At 34.2% G+C, this 26,284-nt stretch overlaps 1 long non-coding RNA gene across 1 annotated transcript, besides 1 other annotated feature; it reads right to left on the bottom strand.

The window, feature by feature from the left end:
• Positions 1-25,635, bottom strand: LOC102724874 (uncharacterized). Its single transcript, NR_125830.1, has 3 exons — positions 25,556-25,635; positions 12,264-12,331; positions 1-48 (listed from the first exon to the last, which is right to left on the bottom strand). It is a non-coding gene; the product is annotated as an uncharacterized LOC102724874 (long non-coding RNA).
• Positions 16,150-18,350: an enhancer, noted in NCBI's record as "VISTA enhancer hs1422". NCBI's record gives its function as "enhancer in: limb[13/14]" and the evidence as "EXISTENCE:transgenic organism evidence [ECO:0001131][PMID:17130149]".
• Positions 25,636-26,284: the final 649 nt, after the last annotated feature.

The following is a 26,284-nucleotide window of genomic DNA, read 5'->3' as shown; positions in this document are numbered from 1 at the left end:
CTGTACATGGTTACTCTTGGTGTCTCTTGATGTCCTAATCTCCTCTTCCTATAAGGACAAAAGTTATGTTGACTTAGGGCCTACCCTAATGGCCTCATTTTAACTTAATTATCTCTTTAATGGTCCTATATTGAAATACAGTCACAATCTGAAATACAGAAGTTAAGGCTTCAACATATGAATTTTGGGGGAGCACAATTCAATTCCTAACAGTAGCTAAGTCAGGTAATCTGATTGCCAAACTTTTTTTTAATGTCTGCAAAAATCCATTGACTCAGAAAAGAATGATTCTCTAAATATTAATCCATAAATTATGTGTTGTTTTATTTCCTACAGTATAAAGTCAAGATATGTTTTCTGATTTCAGAGTAGCTTAGAAAAAAATATTCTTTAAAAGAAAAAAAAAAGAGCTTAAAAAATAAACTCCATCTACAGTGTGCTGATATGGTCTGGATGTTTGTTCCCCGCAAATCTCGTGTTGAAATGTGATTCCCAGTGTTGGAGATGGGGCGTGTTGGGGGATGGGGCCTGGTGATTGAATCATGAGGGCAGATTCATCAAGAATGACTTAAGACCAACCCTTCAGTGATAAGTGGGTTCTAGCTCAACTTAGTTCATGCAAGGTTTGGTTGTTAAAAATCCCCCTCTTTGCTCTCTTGCTCCTGCTCTCAACTGTGCAATGTGCCTGCCCCTGCTTTGCCTTCCTTCATGATTGTAAGCTTCCTGAAGCCCTTACCCCATCTGCTGAAGCCCAGCAAATGCTGGAGCTATGCTTATACAGCCTGCAGAGCTGTGAGCCAATTAAACCTCTTTTCATTATAAATTACCCATCCTCAGGCATTTCTTTATAGTGATGCAAAAATGGCCTAATACGTGTACAAACATTATTTCATATTAAATCTCAGAACACTAAGCAATTTAAGTGTTATTACCCCCATTTTACCAATGTGAGAACTGGGGACCAGATGAGTTAAGTGGTCTAGCCTCAGGAGGCAACATCTTTGCCAATAAGCCTAGTAATCTTTTTAGTATATCTAAGTTTTTAATCAAATATATATCCCATAAGATATTGCCTGTGATCTACAACCAGTAGGCCTTGCACTTTTCATTCATTCATCATCACCTATTTATCCAAGCCTATAATATGTATTCATTTATTGTGCCAAAGTTTGTACTGAGTTCTGAAGGTAGATGCATAAGAGAGACAAAATTCCTATCTTTACAGAGCTTAGAGTGTATCATGGAGTTAAATAATTTTAAAGAGCCAAAACAAATGTATTCAATAAATCTATATTGTAAAAAAGTTAACTGTATTATCTTCTTATATTTGAATTTCAACTGTATTATGGCCCCTAATTTATTAGTGGAAACATTTTCTCTGAGGATTTGCCCAAGTTTTGGAGATTGCTTGGTACTCAACCCAGACATGGTGGCCAATATCATTGACATAGTGGTGATGATAACAGAGGTTTTTCACAATTTATGCCCACCTTTGCTGAAAATTGTTTGAAATTTACCCGCAATTTTCTAGGACTGCAAAGAATTCTGATGTTTCAGAGTCAAACATCGAGAAACATCATTGGGCCTTTTCTCCTACTTACACAACACGCTGTAGGGTGAGATACTTGAGGATTTGACTACTTCTGCGACTTCATCTATAGGCCTAGTAGGTTTATAAGCTCCTAAATTTCCTAAACTCTTAAAGTTCCAAAACTTTGTGCTCTTCCTGTTGCCTGCTCTCCCCACCTACCTTCTCTGTGGGAACCAATAAGTTCTGTGCTCTCTTGTTTCCTCTAGGATTCCCCCTCTCCTCACTCCAGTCTAGGAGAACTTTATATAGTCATGGGTAATTGGAGGGCGTGTAATGAGGCTTGCTGTAACTCATCATATACTTTCTATGTGGAAAACTCATTTTGTTAATATATTAAAATACTATCTCACAATAAAACTAACCACAAAGAAAAAATAAGAAGTGGGTATTATAGAGCAGTGCTGACCTGAGCAGGAGCTGTCATGGATTGTCAGGAAGATTCACAGAAATCGTATTTAGAAGATGGATCTAAAGTGCAGGTGGGAATTAACTGGGGAGAAGGGTTGCATGTGTATGTGATTGTCCTAAAGTAGGGAGAAGTTTGATGATTTTTGAGGACCTTAAAGAGGACAATGTGTGACTGGAAGGTGAAAGCAGTGGGAAAAATTATGAGGATGAGGCTGGTTGAGGAAGGCAGGGCCATGTTATGCAGGACCTTAAAGAGTATGTTAAGGATTTTTGGTCTGTGCCCTAAAAGTAATTGAAAATTCTTCAGGGTTTTAATTACAGAAGGGACTTAATCAGGTGTGATTTTTCTAAATGATCTAAATAACTGTTAAATAAGGAAAATCGATTGAAGTGGGTCCAAGGTGCATGCTGAGAAACCAGAGACTATTTAGAAAACGAGCTCCTTTTCAGCAACAGAAAATACCCAATAATAATTAAGCTGTTGATAGATGAGATCTAAGTGCTTACCAGGTGCCAAACACCTAATACTTTTATGTATTATCCCACTGAAATATCACAAAATAATTAGCCTTGTTTAAAGGCAGGGAAAATGAGAAATTAAAGAATTTGAACCTAGGCAATGTGCATAGCTCACATGCTCAGTAAATGCACTGTTTTGATTCATGTAAAAGAAAAAGTCACTGCAATGTAAACTTTTACTGTCTCACATCCTTGTAATCAACAGCAGGCATTTGCAAGTTGGCTATGAAGAATTAAAGAAGCTAGAGAAGTAATTTATTTCATGTAAATATGAAAGTATCTGTAATGCAATCTAATTAGACCTAATGGAAAATTAACATAAGTTCCAGAAATGGTTTTAAAAATGTATATTAGTAATGATTCATGTTTGTAATATAGAATTTTTTTTTTTTTTTTTTTTTTTTTTTTTTTTTTTTTGAGACGGAGTCTCGCTCTGTCGCCCAGGCTGGAGTGCAGTGGCGGGATCTCGGCTCACTGCAAGCTCCGCCTCCCGGGTTCACGCCATTCTCCTGCCTCAGCCTCCCAAGTAGCTGGGACTACAGGCGCCCGCCACTACGCCCGGCTAATTTTTTTGTATTTTTAGTAGAGACGGGGTTTCACCGTTTTAGCCGGGATGGTCTCGATCTCCTGACCTCGTGATCCGCCCGCCTCGGCCTCCCAAAGTGCTGGGATTACAGGCGTGAGCCACCGCGCCCGGCCTGTAATATAGAATTTTTAAACATATTTCTAATATTCAAATTACCAAATTTGAAGATTTTTCATATTTGTTAATTATGTTAATGAACTATATTTTGAGAATCTTACTATGTGCAATACTAAAAATTAATCATATCCCACATGTTTTATTGAACATTTACCTCTCTGAAAATGAAATCATTTACTTTTCATAAAATTCTTCTGCGTCACTACACGTTTATTATTTTTCATCTCAGTACAGGTTAAAGGTGTAGTATTCTTTCTAGTTAAAATAAAGAAAATACTAGAGGAGACCTAACATTTTGTGAGTAAAATGATTCTCTGTCATAAATGCCTTCTATCATAAAATATTTAGAAGTACAGTACCAGAATATACCATCTTACCATTTCAACTGTGATCCATAAACACTGGCTGTGGAATCTCAGAGGTGTTCTTGTTTAGTGTCAACAAGTGAAAAGTGAACCACAGCATCTGTTGTTTGTGAGTTTTCTCCCCATGATGATTATGTCAGTTTCCAGAGTTGGAGGAGGAGGGGTGTTTTTATTTTAAGAGGTAGCTTGTTTCCATCCTTTGCATTTGGGTTGTGTAATGCTATAATTTTATATTCGACTATGGAAACTAGCAGAAGGAGAATTCTTTTCCATTGAGAGAAGTTAATAATAGAGTTTAGTAAAATATTTTACTAAGAGCCAAGTGTACTACAATTGATCTAATAGTTCTAGTAGCAATCTAGCTCTGTAGCATAATGACTCAAAATCTGGGAGAGTTCCTAATCCAATTTTCACACATCCACATGCACAAACACACAATTTCATAATCTCTTCAAAAAGATAAAATAATATAGAAAAGAACATAGGATAACATACCCAAAAAGAAGAAATAAAAATATTCTGTTATACTTGCATCATATTATTTTATATATTTTTGAGAAATGAATCAATATAAATAATATTGTAATCATCTATGTTCCTCTTTCCAGTGTTATGCCCCAGTAACAATAATTATAATGATGTTTGAAGCTATGAATGCTTTTATATTTAGTAAGGTGTATATATGTATATATATATATCATAACATATTTTTCTTTTTAATTGATGTAAAATATTTTAAAAACTATATAATATATACACACTTTGCTTGTTGACTCAATGTTATGTCTGTTTGCCAATCTATGTTGATTTATATAGTTCTAGTTTATATAGTTGGCAGTTGTGTAATATTCCATTGTTCAGATATGGCAACCTGTATTCTTCCATTTCTCTTCTGCTAGATAGTGAGTTGCAGTGGTTTAACAAAAATTCTAATGTAAGTATTTTGAGGATATATGATAAAATTTATAACATTTTCTTATGTCCATACGTGGACATTTTGAGTCATTGGGCATACACATTTTCAGCTATATACACAGTAGTAAATTGCTCTTGGGATTATTTGTAGCAATTCTACCAGTTCTCCTTTTCTTTTCTTGTCAACATCTTCCTATTTTTTTCTTGAGATGGCATCGTCTAGTTTTGTCTACTAAGTTTTATGTATATATATATATGTGTGTGTGTGTGTGTGTGTGTATTATAGTTGCAACATATAGAAAGAAAGTAACAAGGACTATGCTTATTTTATAATAAAGAATTGCATATTTATCTGTCAGTAATTGCATATTTCATTGGGTGATCTCATTTAGTTTACGGGTTTTAAATACAATCTATATTCTAATGACTTTCAAATGTATATCCTAAAACTGGGCTTCTGGGCTTCCACATTGACTCTAGTCTTGTGTAAACAATTGCCTACTATTAATAGAGTGTCCAAATCGGAATTCCAAATGTTTTCTGCCCAAACCTTCTGCTCTAACAGTCATCTCTGTCACAGTCAATGACTACCTCATCCTTCCAACCTCATCTGCCCATCTTGACTCCTCTTTTTATCTTATATTCCACATAATACTTTATATCCAACCCTGTTGGCTCTGCTTTCGAAATACTATATCAGCCACTTCCTAATATCTGTCACATCCACTGTCATCACCACTGTCACAATCCACTGTTCAAGAAAACATCACCTCTGCCCTGATTGTTGCAATGGGCTCCCAAATGGCCTTGCTGCCACCACCCTTGCCCACTTACAGTCTGTTCTAACAGGAGTCATCTGCTGAAACCTTGTTCACATTATGTCACTCCTCTACTCAAAATCCTCCAACTCCCTCTATTTAAAATCCAAAGTTATTTTATGGCCTTCAAGGTCCTACCTGATCTTGACCTCATAACTGTCAGAAATCTCCTATAACTTCCTTCACTGTTTTTCATTAAGCTACAGTGACATTGCCCTCCTCATTGTTCACAGAACACAACAGAGACATTCTTGTGTGTCAGGCTTGGATGGGAACACTCCAACTCCCAATACCTACAATGTCCACTTTTCTAAGCCCCGTAGCCCTTTCCTTTCCTCAAAAGTCACTTCAGAGATGCTTTCTAGCCTCTATATAAAAATTTCAACAACCCACCACATACAACACACTCAAAGTATTATAATCTCCTTCTCTGCATTATTTTTTCTCCTTAACTCTTATCAATACAAATATGTACTATATTTCAGTTTCACTGGCTCCTCAGCCCTTAGCACAGCGTCTGCTCCCTGGAAGACACAGATAGTGAATATTTCTTCATTTAATAAAACATATATTCTAGTGAAAGTTATAGGTTTACAGTAAGTTATAAACCATACTACATTTACGTTTAAATTGTAAAAATTAAAACTAACACACCTATTTATAAAAGTTAACTTAATTTGGAAGTGAGTGTCTAAAGAAATTTCTTTATATCTTTAATGAAGTATGACTTTTGATAAAATTGCTATTTATGTTGATAAATATCATAACCTTTGATATTTTAAAATCATGGAAATATCGCTGTAAATAGAAGATTTAACCATCTTCCTGTTTGATTATTATCAAATATTTTGCATACTAAAGTGAATATTTAACTAGGCATTCAAAACTTTCAAAATGCTAGTTGACAGTATCTCATTGTAGCGGGTGTGTCTGTGATATCGTAGGTAAAAATATCTCTCAAGATGTAAATCAGACATGTATTATTACAGTTTCTTTGCTTTCCAAAAAAGTATGCTTATTCAAATGCATTTTACTTTATAGTTACATAATACAAATTTAGCAATACTAGCAACTTTTTTTCTAGCTAAAATATTGCCAATGTAATCTATATATATATATGTATGTGTATGTCTGTGTGCATTTTACACACATACTCATAGATATCAAGCCTTTGAATGCATCAAGTAAATTCAAAACAGATTACAAGAAAATACATACAAGTTGAATGTATTTGGAAATGAAATCACTTAAAATAACAAATTTACAAGAAAAAAACAAACAACCCCATCAAAAAGTGGGCGAAGGACATGAACAGACACTTCTCAAAAGAAGACATTTATGCAGCCAAAAAACACATGAAAAAATGCTCATCATCACTGGCCATCAGAGAAATGCAAATCGAAAACACGATGAGACACCATTTCACACCAGTGGCAATCATTAAAAAGTCAGGAAACAACAGGTGCTGGAGAGGATGTGGAGAAATAGGAACACTTTTACACTGTTGGTGGGACTGTAAACCAGTTCAACCATTGTGGAAGTCAGTGTGGCGATTCCTCAGGGATCTAGAACTAGAAATACCATTTGACCCAGCCATCCCATTACTGGGTATATACCCAAAGGACTATAAATCATGCTGCTATAAAGACACATGCACACGTATATTTATTGCAGCATTATTCGCAATAGCAAAGACTTGGAACCAAGCCAAATGTCCAACAACGATAGACTGGATTAAGAAAATGTGGCACATATACACCATGGAATACTATGCAGCCATAAAAAATGATGAGTTCATGTCCTTTGTAGGGACATAGATGAAATTGGAAATCATCATTCTCAGTAAACTATCGCAAGAACAAAAAACCAAACACCGCATATTCTCACTCATAGGTGGGAATTGAACAATAAGAACACATGGACACAGGAAGGGGAACATCACACTCTGGGGACTGTTGTAGGGTGGGGGGAGGAGGGAGGGATAGCACTGGGAGATATAACTAATGCTAGATGATGAGTTAGTGGGTGCAACGCACCAGCGTGGCACATGTATACATTGTATACATATGTAACTAACCTGCACACTGTGCACATGTACCCTAAAACTTAAAGTATAATAATAATTAATAAATAAATAAATAAATAAAAGAAATAAGGGCCAAGAGTGTGGAAATAGGCCCTAAGATTTGACAAGGAGTATGTCATTGTTTACTTTGGTGACTATACTTTTTTTGTAGTTATACTGTCATAAACTGATATAAATCTTTGAAAAATAAAAAGAGATTGTGAGAACATAAAAAAAAATGCCTGTTGTGAAACAATCATTAGAGTATTGTGAGCTGTATTCTTTGGTTCAGCTTTGCTCACAGTGCCTAACTCATTATAAATTTACCCACATTTTCTTTAATTTAATAGCATTTACTCATCCCCATCATCCCCTGCCTTTGAAATAAGTGAACCGCAAACTTTTGATTATAATCTTGTAGCCATAGAAAACTTGGAAAATATAATCTCAATTTAAAATTAACTCTTTCTCTTTAGATTGAAAAAAATGCTTGAGTTGCATACCCTCTCTGAACCACAGGTGATATTTCATAAGTTTAAAGCACATTTTTTAAAAAGAGTACTTTTTCAAATAATTTTCCATGCCTTCATGCAGCAGGTAACCCAAACCTTCATAATCCCCAAATGCTGCACTTCAAAGTTTTGCTCGGGAAAAAAATATTGAAAAGAACAGCCTCTCTTTCCAGTTGATTTAAAACATCACTAGCTTATTTTCAGTACACATATGGAGTTACTTTTAAAAAGAAATCTTGGAATATTGCCAGACTACATACAGGAAAGGCTTTTCTTCAGAGAAAGCTAAAATTCATTATCTGAGGTTTGGGACACCCATGTTCCTTCAAAATTTGGACACATCTTTGTTCCCTCGTGATTAGTGATAGTTTAACTTAAAATGAGAAAGTACTGAATGTGTGACTATAGTCTGAAGAAACCAAATTATTGTATTGTTTGAACTGATGCTGATTAACAGTTACCTACATAAATAAAATATCACTTTGCATGATGATCACGTTAGAATAAATTAGAGTATTTGTAAAATCTGATATTATTTATGAAATATAACACTTATTTGTTTATCAGCAGTATTAAAGTTAAATTTAGGCCCTTTTTCATATCTCTCTTTCATTAAATGGTTAGCTTCTCTCATTTAAATCTATCTGAAATTTTTTATTTCGGGAAAAAACTCATTAAATCCAAATAATTTTAGGGCAATATAATTATGTTATTATTGTTTTTAGTGACCATTTCATCATGATAATGTTTAAACATTTTAAACCTCCTTTTTCTTTTTTTTTCTTTTTCTGAGAGGGAGTCTTGATCTGTCGTCCATGCTGGGATGCAGTGGTGCAATCTCTGCTCACTGCAACCTCCCCCTCCCAGGTTCAAGCGATTCTCCAGCCTCAGCCACATGAATAGTTAGGATTACAGGAGTGCGCCCACAGGCCTGGCTAATTTTTGAATTTTTAGTAGAGAGAGGGTTTCGCCAGGTTGGCCAGGCTGGTCTCAAACTCCTGGGCTCGAGTGGTCTACCCACCTCGACCTTCCAAAGTGCTGGGATTTCAGGCATGAGCCACCACACAGGGTCCTTTAATCCTGCTTTTGATGCACAAAATGAAACTAACAAAGGTGGAAATATTGTTACACATTAAGAAAAAGATTAATATCAGCATAATAATTTCAGTAATAATCAATATTTCACTGTGAAATACTACAAAGTGGTAATTATTTTTAGATTTATTACATATTTTTCCCAAGGCATATAACATATATTAGGGGTTTTTCTGAAAAGGTAGGAACAAAATTCTCCTAACTGATGATAAATAGCCTATGAATATAAAACAAAATTAATATATACTAATATGAAACAAATTAAGTAAATACAAACCATGCTCTCTCTAAAAGATAAAAGTTTAACATGTGCAGTGCATCCACAAAATTGAATAAAGACTAAGAATATGATTTTTTAAATATCGATTTTATACATATGAAAGAATAAGTGTACTTTGTTATATGCTGAGTAAAGAAGCTAAGGGACCTTATTATCCTCATTTTTAATTATTCAGGAAAGAATATGTGGAATTACAGAAACCGCATCAATGAAGGAAGAGAAAGCTTCAGCAAGTTGGAGGTGCATTTTATATCACACATGAGCATTACCTATCATGGGAGTTTTCACTTACTTTGTTCTTGTCCACAAAATAGGCATGGACACCTTTTGTATATGCATAATTTGATAAAATCAGGTATTATGAACTTAATAATGAGTGATTTCAAATGGAACCAAAATGTAAGCTCTACTTTAAAGAGTAATGGTCGAGTTGGGCAGGATTACTTCTGCAAAATGAATTAGAACACTATGAACTGTAATATATCAGCAATAAGTCTAGTATATTTCAAAACCACAGCTATTGGAGAAATGAGTCTGAATCACTTGAGCATCACAAATCCTAGGCCATATTTTTATTTCCAGTCTAACCGTTTGTGCTGCTTCCAAGTACGCAGCTCCAGTTTCCCAAGTACGCAGCTCCAGTTGATTTCAAAGGCAGTAGATGAGAGATAAAGAGGAGCAAGGATTGTTCTACCTCAGCAATTCATGATCCCTCTAAGGCCATTGATTTTGAAAGAATATGGAGACCTTGGCGTCTCAGCAGAATAGATCCAGCTACTCTTTTCTATCCTACTCCCATGAGGTAGGCCAAGCATTTATCCAGTTTAGCATAGCAAATGATTCTCCATGTCCAGAAAATTACAACACTCTTCCTCTCTTCACTCTGAGGAGTCATAAAACCTAAATTAAACATAACTGTCCAAAGAATTATTTTCAGTAATGTTAGCATTTCAACAAGGGAAATAAATGGAACAATGTGATTTAAGTATTATTATAATATCAAATATAATAATGTATTAGAACATTTAAACATCCTTAACTTAACATTATTCATTTAAAATATTTACTTATTAAATTATTAATTTTAAATTATTTAAATTATTAATATTAAAGTTGTGGTTAAAAAATATTTTATGGGCGTAGGGTAAAGTTGTATAGTATATTACTTAAACATGTGTGCTTATAATTCTCAGAATAGTTAAAGCTTTCTAAGTGATATTTCTTAGACATAAATATGTCCCTTATACATGAATACCTTTTTTCTTTGAATATTTTCTTCATTTCCATGTAAATAGTGTATGTATGTGTGTTTATTTATAAGCCTCATGCAATTATAATGGTCTAGTAATGTGTTTTGGTGTCCAAAATATTTTCAACTAACTTATATAGCTGTGCTAAGATTTTTCAAAATGAACAAATACTTAAAATACAGCTTTATAAACCATATTAATTAGTGTATCACATCCTTCAAAAGAAGTGATTAAAACTGCTGAAAGGAATAAATTAAGTTAAAAACTTTGGATATATGTAGTAAAAATATCTGACAATTAAAATATTGGCTGACTTCAGTTACTATACTGTTACATACATTATTTTATTTAATTGATGCAAAATCTTTGTGAAATAAGCAGTATTTTGCTCCATTTTGCATATATTAAAATGGAGGGATAGAGGGGTTTAGGAATTACCCAGTTTTAAAGATGGGACAGAGTTGGAACATGGACTCAGGCCTATCTGAATTGAGAATCCTATGTTCTTAAATATTCATATATTTTATCACCTTTCTGTTCTGGTGACATAGTGTCTGTGACTAGGAGAATTTTAAGATAAGATTTCTAGATAAAGAGTGTGTATTTTAGGAGTGCATTTTTGTTTTCAAAAATATGCTTGTTCAACTTAATTTATAAAATATATTCTCTTCTGAAATTATTGGGTTCCATTCGCGTCGGCCATGTTCTGAAGGCTAACAAGGATAGCAAAGATGAGGTCAAGGTCCTTGGAGAGCTAGCCCTACAGAGGAGAGGTCAGAAACTTTTTTGTATGGAGCCAGAGAGTAAATATTTTCTGGGCCATACAGTTTCCCAAAACTAATTGGCACTCTTGTTTTTAGCAAGAAATTTGGCACAGAAAATATGTAAATAAATGATCATGGCTGTGCCCCAAGAAATGTTTATTTATAGATATAAAAAATTAAACTTCATGTAATTGCCAGGTGTCAATAAATACTATTCCTATTATGATTGTTTCAACCACTTAAAAGTGTAAAAATTCTTCTTAGCTTCCAAGCCATACCAAAACAGGGATTCAGCTGGATTTGGCCAGTGAACCTGTGAACCGAGGTTGGCCAACTCCTGTGCAGAATTGCCCTGGCCATTGAGCACTTAAATTTGGCTAGTCCAAATTGAGTTGTGCTGTAAGTATAAAATACATACCAGATTTTAAAGATTTAGTCTAAAAAATTTCAATGTCTCATTTATAATTTTTATGTTGGTTATGTTTTGAAATAACCAGCTTTTGATACATTGGGTTAAATATCTTACTACAATAAGGTTCACCTGTTTAGTTTTTTCCTTTTTGCTTACCCACTATCTACACATATTTTTTTCTTAAATTGTGCTTAAATTCTTCCCTTCCTGTACCTTTTCTGCCACCACTCTCTTATTTCATAATTGATCTCATAGCCTTCATTGTCTCCTCAACACACATCTTATTTTTTGTTTTTTCTTATTTTAAATCTTCTGGTTCTTTGTCACATGGTCTTTAGGAGAAGTTTTTGACAATGAGTTTTTCATATCCAGTGCTTTCTGTTGGGGCACTCTAAGACAGGGAGTTAGAGGAGGGAAAGCTTTCTGGCTTCTGAGCTTACTGACTACTTCAGTGAGTAACATTCTTCTTATTTTCTTTTTTGGACATGGAGGTAAGATTTCCTTTGACATACTTTCAATCCTTAGAAACTTGGGCAAATATGTCATTCTGGCTTCAAAGTACTTACCAACACAATTTCCCTCCTCTTTCACACCTCCTACAACGAAGTTGTAAAAGACGGTAAAATAGGTGATTCTGTGAAAGAAAAAAATACGTAGTCAATTTGAAACGCAGAATTTACTAAGGGGACAAGTATGGGCTTTGCATAATTGTCCCCTTAGTAAATTGGACTATTGGCCAGAGCAGGGAAATAAGAAAAAGTTATTGTTGAGAGTGAGAAATATGAAGAAACACTTTTAGAGAGAAATGAAGAATGTTGCTATTCCACTCTCAAAAATTGGGAGCAGTCAAGGATACTATATCTTTTACCTTAATGCCTTGTTTATTAGTTAGGGTTTTCCACAGAACCTGAACCAATAGGAGAGATAGGTAGATAGATGGATGGATAGATAGATAGATAGATAGATAGATAGATAGATAGATAGATATAGATATAGGTATAAAATATAAACCCTAACGCATATATATTTCTAATATATATAGCGTGTGTGTATATATATAAAATCTACAACTGAAACAATAGGATATCTATATTAGAACCCTAATATATATATTTTATATATTTTATATATATACATATAGTATGTGTGCATGTGTGTGTGTATTAAACTGAAATTGAACCAATAGGATGTGTGTATGTGTGTGTGTGAATATATATGTACACACACATATATATGAACTCTAAATATCACATATATATAGTGTGTGTGTATATATATATATATTATACAAGAAGAGATTTATTAAGAGAATTGGCTTATGCAATTGTGGAGGCCAAGAAGTCCATGATCTACAACCTGCAAGCTGGAGAACCAGAAAGGCTGGTGGTATAATTCAATCTGAGTCTGAAGGCCCAAGAATTAGGAGCACCCATGTGTGAGGGCAAGAGAAGATGAATATCCAGGCTAACAAAAAGAAAGAGCAAATTCACTTTTTTTTCCTGCCTATTTTTTTTCTATTCAGGCTTCATTGTGTTAGACGATGTCCACTTACAATGATGAGGGAGAATCTTGTTTCCAAAGCCTATTGATTCAAATGCTAATTGCTTCTGGAGAAATGTTCACAGACATACCTAGAAATAATGTTTTACCAGCCACCTTGGAATTCCTGAGCCCAGTCAAGTTGACAAACAAAATTAATTATCGCACCCTGTGAGGGAGTGTCTTCAGGCTTGTGGAAAATATCTGGTAAGTTCTCTCTAAAACTAAGTGGATCCAGGAAAAGTGGACTGGTGCCTGACTCACCCCGGAGAAAGCAGTAAGGTAGAGGCAGTGGCACTAATGGCCCATACTCTACACTTAGGTTCTTCCTTGGAAGAAAGTCTAGGCTATGAAGAGAACTGCAAAGTAAACCAAGAGTGAGACTGAGTTACAAGCCAGAGTGTTGCAGAGTGTGTTCCTTAGAGATGGGCTCTGAATTTCCCACAAATGCCCTTATAAAGGGACAGGTCACATTAACCAAGTCTTAGGCTCGGGGAGTGTGAAGCCACCCAGAAAATAAAACCATCTGTTCTATCCTTCAACCTCTCCTGTCTTCTCCCACTTCAACCCTGCTACAAGAAACAAAAGAAGTAAATGGGGAGCATGGACAGGAATACCCTATCTTCTTCCAGGAACACACTTCCATTTACAGGACTGATCGTGGCTTAGAGGGAGAAAAAGCTTTATTTTAAGAACAAATATATTAACTAATATCTTGGGCTGCACAAATTCTAATTTCTGAATTGGGGCTTTATTTTAGAACTTAAGATCAATTTATGATTATCTTTTGCTGAAGAGTGAGTAGCAAATTCAAAGAACTTTGTAGTTTGATCTCAGCTCATAAGCCATGTATTTCATATACCATTTATCCAAAATTTGCTTCTGTCACACACATTCATATTCACATATCACTCACCTTTTAGAGAATACATAATGCAATTCTTTCTACCACTGTCCTCCAGTATATACTCTTTACTGACTTCAGAGAAGATCTTCTATGGTGTCAGAGTGCTTCCAAAGCCCATCTGTATCCTCACTTCCGTTATGAGGAATCTTTACTTTCCATACAGGCTTAGTCTCTGTGTCATGAGCATTCACTTAAAACTTGGGGCATGGCTACAACAAAGCCCTTACTTCAATTAGGATACTGAAAGGAGTAGTACATGGTCTCCTGCGTGAAGAGGCTCACAGTGAAAGGGGAGATGCTTGTAAAATATAAATCAGAGAGGCTCAGGAGAGGAAAGCATTCAATTTTAGCTTTTTGATTTTGTAATTTCCCCAAAAATGGGTAACCAAACTGTCTACAATAAACAAAGCTATACTACATTTAACTTCATTTCATTGTGGTTATTTGTATTGGAATGTTTTCTCTCCTCTCAAACATAAATGAATCAAAAAATATTAAGCTTGATTTCCCACAAAAGATCGAGGGAGAATAAAATTAAGGCATTTCTAACATAGCTGAAAAACCCACATTATTATCCCACTTCCTGAAAAATCTTCTTCAAAAATATTCTTTAGCTCCAATAACAACAATTTAAACTCCAATAGGAACTTTTCTTCAAAGAGTTAAACCACTTTGTCAGTCTGTGATAAGCAAAATCGAGATCTAAAAGCACTATGAGAAGATCCTTGGTTTTGATTGATTGTACTTTAATTTTATTTTAAATTTTGCATACTTGCAAATTTCCTTGGATGATCATAGATTAAGTCAATTGATTACAGATATTTTAGGAACTCATATGATGCCTACTTTCCAAATTGAGAATAATAATACTCTAACCAATATAATTATACATATTTATTATGTCAGTTTCCTAAGCCAATGTTAATCAAAATACGTTTCTAGACAGAAATAATAATAGGATTTTCTCAAAATTAAAGAAGAATTACCTGGACCAGTCCATCATAGGTATTTTAGGTTAAGATCCATCAGAATCTCTCTTGCTTTCACTGAGTCTATGGGCATTTGTATGACTTATGGTTTTTGTTTTTGTTTTTAATTCACAGAAATGTTGTTAAGCAAATCAATATAACTTCAAGATGTTGCTTCGGCTATAAGGAGCAATCAGTTCAGGTGCTGAGATAGTCTGGAAAATTCTCAACTAAATTATCTGAGATGTCTAAATTTCCAAACCATAAATATTAAGTTAAATATTAGAAAATTGACCTACAAGTATTTTAGTGTTTTGCTTACTAGCTGCTCCCTGAGGCTTACTCTGGGTCTTAAAGATAGAAATGGAATATGGTAGAAGACACATTATTTCTAAATCTTCCCTAGAGTATCCCTTTTCTAATTAATAATTGACATTAAATAAAAATTGTAACAATAATACAATTAAAATTAAAAGGAAAATAACGTTCAGTGTTTTCTTTTATTGCAAAGATTATTTTTTTTTATTGACACACATTGTAAGAATTGTAACTGCTTAATATAGCTTCTGGAAATGACTTCAAAGACTTTTCAGTTTCACTCTTTTAAAAATGACTAATATAAAATTATTATAACTAACATAAAACTTAAATGTGCTCCTACAAAAAAGTAAGATTTTTCTCTTTGAGCAATTTTTATTTAGAAGATTATTCTTAAAAAGCATTGATCTCTTTCTATACCACACACACAAGTTCTAAGTACAAGAAGTCTATTGCTAAGGAGATTTTATGTCACATTGCTTGCCATGGAATTAAAACTTTTCTTGACTAATAGAGTATTATAAAGAATATCTTTGGAAATATTGAAATATTCTCAAACCACTTATTTTCTTAATTCACTTATCAAATACTTATTGAGCAACCAGTATGTACTACGCATAATTCTAGTTACAAGGAATTTAACAGTGAAAAAATAAAAAGACAAAATTACTTGCCTTCATGGAACTTACATTCTCGCCAAGAATTACAATAATACTCCTTAAGGGAGAACATTAAAATGACTACACTAAAAAGCATATATTATACATTTTATAATGAAGTTTTCTGTTAATATCATATTAATGTTCTCAGAATGTCAAAAGCGACTAACTACTTTTAATCGTTAGTTAACTTTTTACCTAGTATATGAAAAAAAGAACTTAGAAACAAACATCTATCCTTGTGTATCCATGTCCTACTCTAATGAAAACGAAAGGAAAGTTTTACGATAATTTAAAGTACCTAAAAAGTTGACTTTTCATAGGCTCAATAATATAGGTTGAAATACTGCTGTGCTGGCGGGCTTTCCTGTAATACAATTTCTTTGACTTCACTTTGAGAAAAAGAAACCCTTTTTTTCCTAAGCACTTCATGTAGCACGTTAATTCAGCATTAATTATAGAACATGTCAAACTGTATTTCAGTCAAAGCTCCCTGTAAGTCTCCAGAGCTTTCTTAATGACAGTAATTATAGGTCATAAAAAGAGTCGTCTAAAATTAACATTTCTCTCATGTCTTGATAGGAAAATGTAAATGGCTGCACAGTACAGATGTTTTGATTAGTAAAATTTACACTTCCTTTTTTGTTTCAATGCCTGTCAAACTTCACAGTGTTAAACATAAAGTGCCACATTTCTCATCTCTCTGAGTAGATAAAGGTGCATCAAAGTGGTTGTAGAAGTTCTTAAAATGCTTTACCTTATTATTTTGTACTGCAATTAAAAATAAATCAACAATTTCTCCTTCAGTAAGGGATGAGCAAAACAAATTATTAGCTTTTAGAAAAATCTGCAAAAAGTTTATAGAATTGTGTTTAAAGGAAATTTATAAAAATGACTTATTAGAATGTAGAAAAACATCACTCAACTTATATGCTGACTTAAATCTCCTGGTAAACTATATTTTATCATATAGTATCAGAAAACGCACATAAAGCCTGCTCTATTCAGAACTGTCAAAATTTACTTACTACAAAATGAGAATGGAAACATTCTGGTTTAAACAATGTTAATATCATCAAACATCCAGGGAAATATAACAAATTAAAAGAGAATCACTTCAAAGAATAAAAGGCCTACACCTTAAGTAATAATAAATCTAATACTTGACATTCATCTCCCTGGAAAATAAAATTAGATAAACTTTTGCAAGGGCATTCAGAACAGCCAATCCAGTTTATTAATAATTTCCTGTTTTCATATTGGAAGCTCATATTATCTGGCCCCAGCCACAGTAGACCTCCACAGATATTTAATAAAGCTGCCATCAGTAATCCTCTCTGATTACCTATAACCTTCCAGCTATAACACACACTGTGCTGCAGCTCCACAGAAGGACAGCACAGTGTCACCTGCTATGATGTTTGACAGCTTATTCTGCGACATCAAGCCAGCACAAAATTACTTTTTCCAAATCCATCCTTGGTTAATAACCAAAAGCAATAATGGTATTCAGCATGCGTAATACTCTGAAAAGGCAAAATGAGGCAACAGAGAAAAAAAAAAGATTAAAGAGTGACTATTATGGAGGTGAGATCAAAAATGGAATCTTGTAACACACAACAATGTTTCAATTATAACACCATGCTGAGAGTTCTACATATCACTCTACAAAATCCACACTGCAGGGCTAGAAACATGGAAAAGATTTCCTATTGTATTTACACTAGGTGCCTGATTATTCTAGTTCATCCCACACAACATTTGAGAATTTTCTTTCTAAATTATTCTTAGACATTCTCTTGGGAAACTAGAAATGATGTATCTTTAGTGGAACTGTCTGGCTAATGGAAATGCATTGCTTTGATCTCACCTTATGGTTTGCAAGAGTAATAAGGTATTTTGTTTATAGAATAGATCAGACTAAACTTAATACAAATTTACAAGCACACCAAATTCAATTTAATAGATGTTTTTAAAGATGAAACACTAAATTAAAAGTCTCAACCCTCAATTGAAAAATAGTTGTTTATATGATATAGCAAGGATACAGTATTTTACATTTATCTTCATTATAAACAAGTGAATGACCTTGGCATAAGGTTGAATCTGACTGTGACAATTAATGGAGAAAAAGTGAACAAATGTTTTCTTTCTTTCTTTCCTCTATTAATTCTTCTAACTTTATTTTTCTCTTATTTTCTCCTTGCATGTCTCCCTTTATTCTTTTCTCTTCTTGTCCTACAATCTTTTTCAGTAAGACTTTATATACTTTGCATTTTATAGAAGACTAACAATAGTTACAAAATGCTTTTATATTCTGAATTCTTATATATATAAGAAAGTCATAATCAAGTTAAATACATTATCAAAAACTCAGAATATACATTGTGTGTTTATATTTTATATATCTACACAGATTTAAAGGTGCCTCTCCCTGACAATAATACAGTCACGTGCCACATAACATTTCAATCAAAGACAGACTGGATATACACAACGGTCATCCCGTGAGATAAGAGTACCGTATTTTTACTGTACCTTTTCCATACCTAGACATGTTTAGATATGTAAATATTTACCATTGTGTTACAATTACCTGTACTACTCAGTTCAATAATGTGCTGTACAGATTTGTAGCCTAGGAGCAATAGCATCTAGCCTAGGCGTGTAGTAGGCTGCACCATCTAGGTTCATGTAAGTCCATTCTATGATGTTCACACAAGACAAAATCACCTAACAATGCATTTTTTAGACATATCCATATGGTTGCATATGGTTGAGTGGCACATACCTGTATTTGTATTATATATTTGACATAATGGGGGTAAATCATTGAAACCTTGACCTCCAAACCTACTTTCCTTTCTGTGGTCCACATCTCCATAACATGATTTTATACCCAGGAGTTTATGACAGAAATGGTACTGTTAGCTTGACACCTCTCCTTCCTTTCTGCTCCATCTCTGATTATTCACTCAGTTCTACTTTTTAAATATCTTTTGAATTCAACCGTTTACTTCTTTCCACCTCTACTGCCTCCCATCGTCCAAAGCCACCATCATTACTCACCTGGACTGTACGTAGACCTACTAAAATCACCTCCTGATCTTGCTTCTCTCCAACCTAAACTGGAACTTGAAGCAATCATTTGAAATGCAAATATAATGTGTGTTTTTTTCTCCTTCCTGAAACTCTTTAATGCTTCTAATGGCTTTTGGTATAAAGTAGAAACTGTTAGTTACTGTGACCTAAAAGAAAAGGTATGATTTGGCACTTGCTCACCTTGCCAGCTTTTCTTGGTGACCATTCTAGGTTTCCTTATTCTAAGTTACTCAGCAGTGCTCTTTAGACTCTAGCCAAGCTGGCCTTTTTTCCTGCCTCTGGGCCTTTCTCCTCAGCTTCTCCCTCCTATGAGGAAATGCTCCCACACTACTTAGCTGGTTTTCTCCTATTCAGCTTAAATATCATTTCTTTGTGTATGATTTCTCTGACTACCTAATATAGTTCACCCTCCCATCTTTGTTTTCATGAGTCCTTTACTTTCCCTTCACAAAATAATCACATCTTGAATTAAGTATATTGTACATTTAATATTTTTGTCTACTAGTAGACTATAGGCTCCATGAAGGTAGGGAGAAGACTTGGTCTCTTCTATGTTCAAAGTTCCTACTCCAATGCTTGACACCCAACAGCTTCTCAATAAATCTTATTTTTTTATGTTTGTGGTTTTATTTTTTATTTTGTGATTTTTTTTCACATTGCATGCCTATTTGAGCAATGCACAATGGTCCCTTAAACATGACTCACTACCCTAAGGATATAATGGGTCTCAGTTGGATTAATGGGATATTTCTGATGAATAAAATACTATCTACCTGGGCCATTCTGTACCACATAGCACAAGAGAAATTATATGAGCAGCAAAATGAAGCTCAAACATAAACTAAATTAGGTAAAGGGTAAAGATTCCAAATATGCAATACTTAATCTCCAATTAATATAACCTGGGATATATTATTGTATCTGAAACCAGCGAACTCTAAGGATTTTGTATATATTCCAAATTTGATTACTTTTTATATGCTATTCTATTAGAGCTGTTTCATAGAAGCAGGTTAGTTCTGGGTATATACACTCTTAGTATGTATATATATTTTTGAGGTACATGAGATGTTTTGATATAAGCATGCAATGTGAAAAAAATCACATCACAGAGAATGGGGTATTCATTACCTCAAGCATTCATCCTTTGTGTTACAAATGATATAATTACACTCTTAGTTATTTTAAATTGTACAATTAAGTTATTATCGGCTATAGTCAAAAGAAGGGGATTCAATAAATCAAAGAGATATCTGAACCCCCATGTTTGTTGCAGCTCTGTTCATAATAGCTAAGATTTGGTAGCAACCTAACAGTCCATCAACAGATGAACAGATAAAGAAAATGTGGCACATGTATACAATAAATGTATTTTTAATGAATTCACTGAATATAGACATTTTCTCTCAGCAAACAGATTATTTATTGGACAACTCTAAAATAAACTAATTATTATGCAGGAGTGTTTTTGCACATTATCTTCCTCATGTTGGATTCCCCGGAAATGGATCTGAGATAATTTTTATAAAAGTTACTAATTAAGGAAGTGTTTTCAGGAGACACTGGTAAGAAATAAAGAGAATCAGAATAAAGAAAGAGAAAGAAAAACAAGCAAGGAAGTAACTTTAGGCCAATCATTCCTTGTAACCTAATCTTACAAGGAATCTGTGAAGTACAAATTATCCCTAAGAATTGTGCATTGTCCCATCTTTAGGCAAGTGAGCTTGAGTGGAGAGATGAAAACTCAGACACATCCAGTTATCTGCAAATGTATGGAAAGTGACTCCATTTGAAGGAGGGCAATTCTTCCAAAGAGGAGTAGAAGTGTGGACTATTAGTAGCCCGAACCATGAGATGGGGACAGAGAAATGGCAAAAGACAACTAAAGCATAGCATCACCAGTAGCTGTTACTGAATATAAATACTTAGAATATTTTGGACTATTTTTATAAAAGATATAAACTGAAATTCCATTGCCTTGGTGAAAAGTTAATCACATACTTTCTGTTAAACCTTGTAGAACACATGTCCCATCATTTTATGCCTAAACACGTCTTTCACCTATTTTGGGGTGAAATTATTCTGATTTCATATGCTTCTCTATAAACATTGAAGTGAGAATTTAATACAAAATCCTTGCAGATTGTTGCAAAAACCTAAGTTCCATTTGTGAACTCAGGAGTCATGCCAGGTCTGTTGGTGCAGATTCATAACAATGCTATATTGTATTTTGTTTCCATCAACATTTAGGGCTTCAGCAAATTTTATGTACCATGGTCCCTCTCTTATTTCTCTTAATTTGAGCAATGCACAATGGTCCCTTAAACTTGACTCACTACCCTAGGGATAAAATGGGTTTCCTTTGGATTAATGCAATATTACTGATGGATAAAATACTATCTACCTGGACCATTCTGTGCCACACAGCACAAGGGAAATTATATGAGCAGGGGAATGGAACTCAAACATAAACTAAATTAGGCAAAGGATAATTTAAAGATTCCAAGTACACAATACTTAATCTCTCATTAATATAACCTGGCATGTATTATTATGTCTGAAACTAGTGAACTCTAAGGATTTTGCATATGTTCCAAATTTGATTACTTTTTATACTCTATTAGAGCTGTTACACAGAAGCTGGTTAGTTCTGAGTTTTTAATCTCATTCTGCATGTAGCAAGTAGTGTGCTAATATCATTCTGGGTTTTTAGAATATTTCTTTAAACAACTACCACTGTCTTTTGTTCATCAGATATAATCATCGGTTTGTAGATTGAGGAAACTGTCTAATGGTGTCTTCCTGTAGATACCTTTACCCAAAGTAAATGTTAATTAACTAAAAACTAGATAGATCATATACCAGTTTTGGGTTTAGTGAACTACTAAGCCTCTCTCTATCTGTGAAAAGGAGAAAGAAGAAAAGACACACTAGATTGTGGTTTGAATGGCATCCAGTTTTATGTCTTCTATTTTTTTATTTTTGTTTCTTCTGTATCTTTTTTGGAATTAAAGCCATGTACCCTTACTTGTATAGAATTTAAGTTACATGCCAAAATACAGTTTGGGGGACACAAAGCAATATTTATTATGTTATTACTATGTACTGGGTACTACGTTAGGGACTGAAGATGCCAAAATGAATAAGAGATACTCTGGCTTCAAGGAGACCGCTGTTTTTAAAATTTAAAATAGATATTATAACATAAGTAACTGACAATTATCAGCTGCTGGTTACTGAACATAGAAATTGTACTTATTTTCAAGGATTTAAGAGTGATTTGAAAAGTTTCTAGTGCCACCCACACTTTCCTCCCAACCTACAAAAATCTCTGTGCAGAAGACAAGGTATTTATCACAACAATTGAACAGATGAGAAAAGTGAGGCTCAGAAATACTGTAACTTGCTACCCTCGCTTCTATGGCCAAGGCTCCTGAGAGGTATCAATGCCTATCATTTCTCACCTCCTGCTTGCTTTTCAACCCAATGAAACCTGAGTTCTATGCCCAGGACTCTAGCAACTTCTCTCACTAGGAAATTCTACCTCCTCTTTGTTACTAAGCTAGTGTTCCCCTTTCAGTCCTTATCTGCCTCGTTGTCTGCAATATATTACATTGACTGCTTTCTCTTCTCCAGACTTTTGCAGCCTAACATTCTCTCAGGCTTTCTTTCACCTTTGGTCTTATTGATTGATTGATTTTTCTTGCCGTTTTTTGCTAGTCTTTAAAATGGATTTACAAGATACTCCTTGTCTTCCTATCTTCTTATTGATTCATTATTTAATTGATTGGTTTAATATATTTTCACAGTATTAACGATTACTTAATTGATGAGTTGAATCATTGTAACTGCTATCTAGATATTTTTTGCAAGAATAAGGTTGGGTCTTACCACTTAAATATAAATAAAAGAGATATAAAAAGAGATAAAGGAGTCTGGGACTTTCCTGAGTTTTTCAAACAGGGAGCTGGATAGCTGTTAAAGGAAATCATTCAGATGACGGAATATAAGATGGGGAACAGCTGTGCAGATGGAGATTATATGTGGAGTTTAATTTGGGGCTTACTAAGTATGACAAGCTAGTGGGCCATCTTAATGGTGATGGCTAGACCACACACGAAATATATGAGAAGGAGATAGTAGATTTAAGAGCAATTAGTAAATAGTGGGTAAATGAAGCATAAAAAATTAATAGGATAACTGAAAAAGCACAGTCTTAGAAAAAAAGAGGCAATATGTGGATAAACTGATTTGAAGTATGATTAAGAGTTCAATTTGAGATATGTCCATGTCATCCAAATGTAGATCTCCAGGAGTACAATTATTTTTACATTTTGGCCCTCAAATCCCAAAAGTTCTTCAGAGATCAATGTGAGCTCTCAGGAAAAGTGACAAGAGCAGAACTTTAGGGGTTTGAGGCTTTGAACCCTCCACTCACTGATTCAATCAAAGAAGATGTAGTTTTGCTGATAATTTTATTCATTAATTGACTGCTGGCATAAAAGTTTGAAAACTGACAAAGAAAACATATTTATTTAGATGACAAAACTGAGACTACAGAAAATTTAAGCTATTTGATGAAATTTACATAGCTTATAAGTAGCCAAGAATAATGTTGGGTGTTTCTCCCAAACATTTGTTTCATCAGTACCTTACACTGTCTTCTCCATTTGGCTGGCATTTGTAGCATCTTTCAGTTCCATGCTTTGCTTTTGAGTCTCACTCATACTTCTTTAATTAATACTATCTTTATCTATCTCATAAATTACAGAGACAATTGTCTCTACACTTGCCTAACACCACACTACTCTACCTTGCTCAATCTTTTTCCAAATGAAGTAATCTTTCTGAAAGGCAAATCTGATTATATCAACCCATGGCTTAAAACCCCTCAGAACACTCAATTGTCCCCAAGATAAAGTGGAAACACACAAGTTATAAAAACTCTCCCTTATTTACTTTCTATTTTCATGTCATATAAATCCATTCACTAAATATTTCTGTACATGTTATGTTCCAAGTATTTTTCAATGATAAATAAACCTTCATTCAGTTTAATGTGTGATAGAGGAGACAGATACCTTAAAATTTAATATACACATTATTTAATGAATACAAATTTTGATGACTTGTAAAAGAAAATAACAAGATACTGTGAAAGAATTTAAGAACAAGGGTCTAATTTGATTGTACTTTCAGAAAATATTTTTTCTTGGAGCATCATTTAATTTAAGACACATATGGTAAATAGGAGTTAGCCAAACATTCAAGAGAAGAGATATCTGGCAGAAGAGACAGCATTTGAGAAGGTTCTGCAACAGAAAACAGATTGGTTTCTTTGGGGGGCTGAGAGTGCTGATTGTGGTTGGATTCCAGTAAACAAGAGGAAAGTAGGAAGGAGTTTAATATAGGTATAGAGAGACTGCTTATTGCAGTTACTGAAATAGGCCATTCTCTCTCTCTCTCTCCCGTTCTCTATCTCTTTCTATCTCTATCTCCTCTTGCCTAGTATACTTGCTATTCCCTCTGTCTTAAACTATATATTCTGCTTCTACACATGTTATTTTTCTATCTTTTGAATAATTCTTTTCATTCTATAGACCACAGAGTAAATGTTGCCCTATTTGGAATGTGTATTAGTCACAGTGCTGTAACAAACAACCCCAAGATGTCAGCGATTAACACAATAAAGTCACCCAACATGTATGCTCATGAATAGGCAGTTCTTCTGGAAGACTCTCTTTTTGTGTAGTGACTCACTGACCTGCTTCATTCCAAATAGTGATTCTAATTCCCACTGGACCCACAGGTTAGGTCAGTGTTTGGGAAGAGAGAGAGGAGATTATTTATGGGTCAGAATTGGAAGTGTCCTGCCTAAGAATAACTTAGCCCAGATTGAATGGGCCAAAATTCTGTCCATGGCCACTCCCATCTATAAGAGAGGCTATGAGACAGAAAGGGAAATGGGCATAGTAAACAAGTCATCATTCTCTGCCACATTCCTCTTTTTGGCCACCAACTATCAGAAATGTCTCAAATTTCTCCCGTGTAAAGAATGCAACCAGCCTCTTCCTAAGACATAGAAGCTTAATTCCCATCCAGTCACTGTATCCAGCTCAAAGTTCAAGATCTCTAAGAGAGGCACGGTCCTTGGCATTACATCTAAATGTGTCTCCTCATAGCTCTTCACCCCATGAACTAAAAAGTCTAGGTGTTTTCAACCCAACTTTAAGCAATCACAGGACAGCTGACTGCTTAGAGATATATCAGAATGAAAAACATGTGGAGTCATCTGATTATAGCAATGGTGAAATCCTACCAGAAAGCAAGGAAGGAAGGAAAGAAGAACCTAGAACACCACTTACAGTATTAGAAACTGAACATCACGGCTAAGGCAGGAGAATCGCTTGAACCCAGGAGGCAGAGGTTGCAGTGAGCCGAGATCGCGCCAGTGCACTCCAGCCTGGGTGACAGTGTGAGGACAGTCTGGGTGACATATCAAGGAAAAAAAAAAAGAAGAAGAAAGAAATTGAACATCATAAAGATAATGAGAATTGTTTCTGTCAGACACTAGGCTAAGAAGTGTACATTTTTTTTCTTTAAATTCTCAAAGAAACCATTTGAGTTGGGCATTATCATTAGCCCCATTTTACTGATAAAGAAACTTAAAATTCAGAAAGGTTAAGCAACTTGCCTCACTTTACACAGATACTAATTTGTTGGAATTAGATTTTAAGATTGTCTGAATTAACAATTAAAAATCTTAATCATTATTATATACTATCTTTCGTATCTTAATTTAAATAGCTAAGGAGCCAATTAATGTATTTTTAGATTATTAGTACAATTTATATACCAGGGGAAAATTAACTAAAAATTCTGAATAGCAACCACTATAATACATAGATTTATATTAGAAGGGTTTTAAAAGTATCTACAAATAAAATAATGATACTTAAATAAAAAGTTATTTAACTTTGAACCTAATAATATACACAAGCTCATTGCATTTCAACAATAACTTCGAATTCTCAAATCTTTAATAACTCAGATGCCTTTGGCATCAGGTCCTTTACTCTATTTTTTAAATTATT

The sequence above is a fragment of the Homo sapiens genome, chromosome 8 (assembly GCF_000001405.40).
Source record: "Homo sapiens chromosome 8, GRCh38.p14 Primary Assembly".
NCBI classification, from domain to species: domain Eukaryota; kingdom Metazoa; phylum Chordata; class Mammalia; order Primates; family Hominidae; genus Homo; species Homo sapiens.
This window is presented reverse-complemented; position numbering and strand designations above follow the sequence as displayed.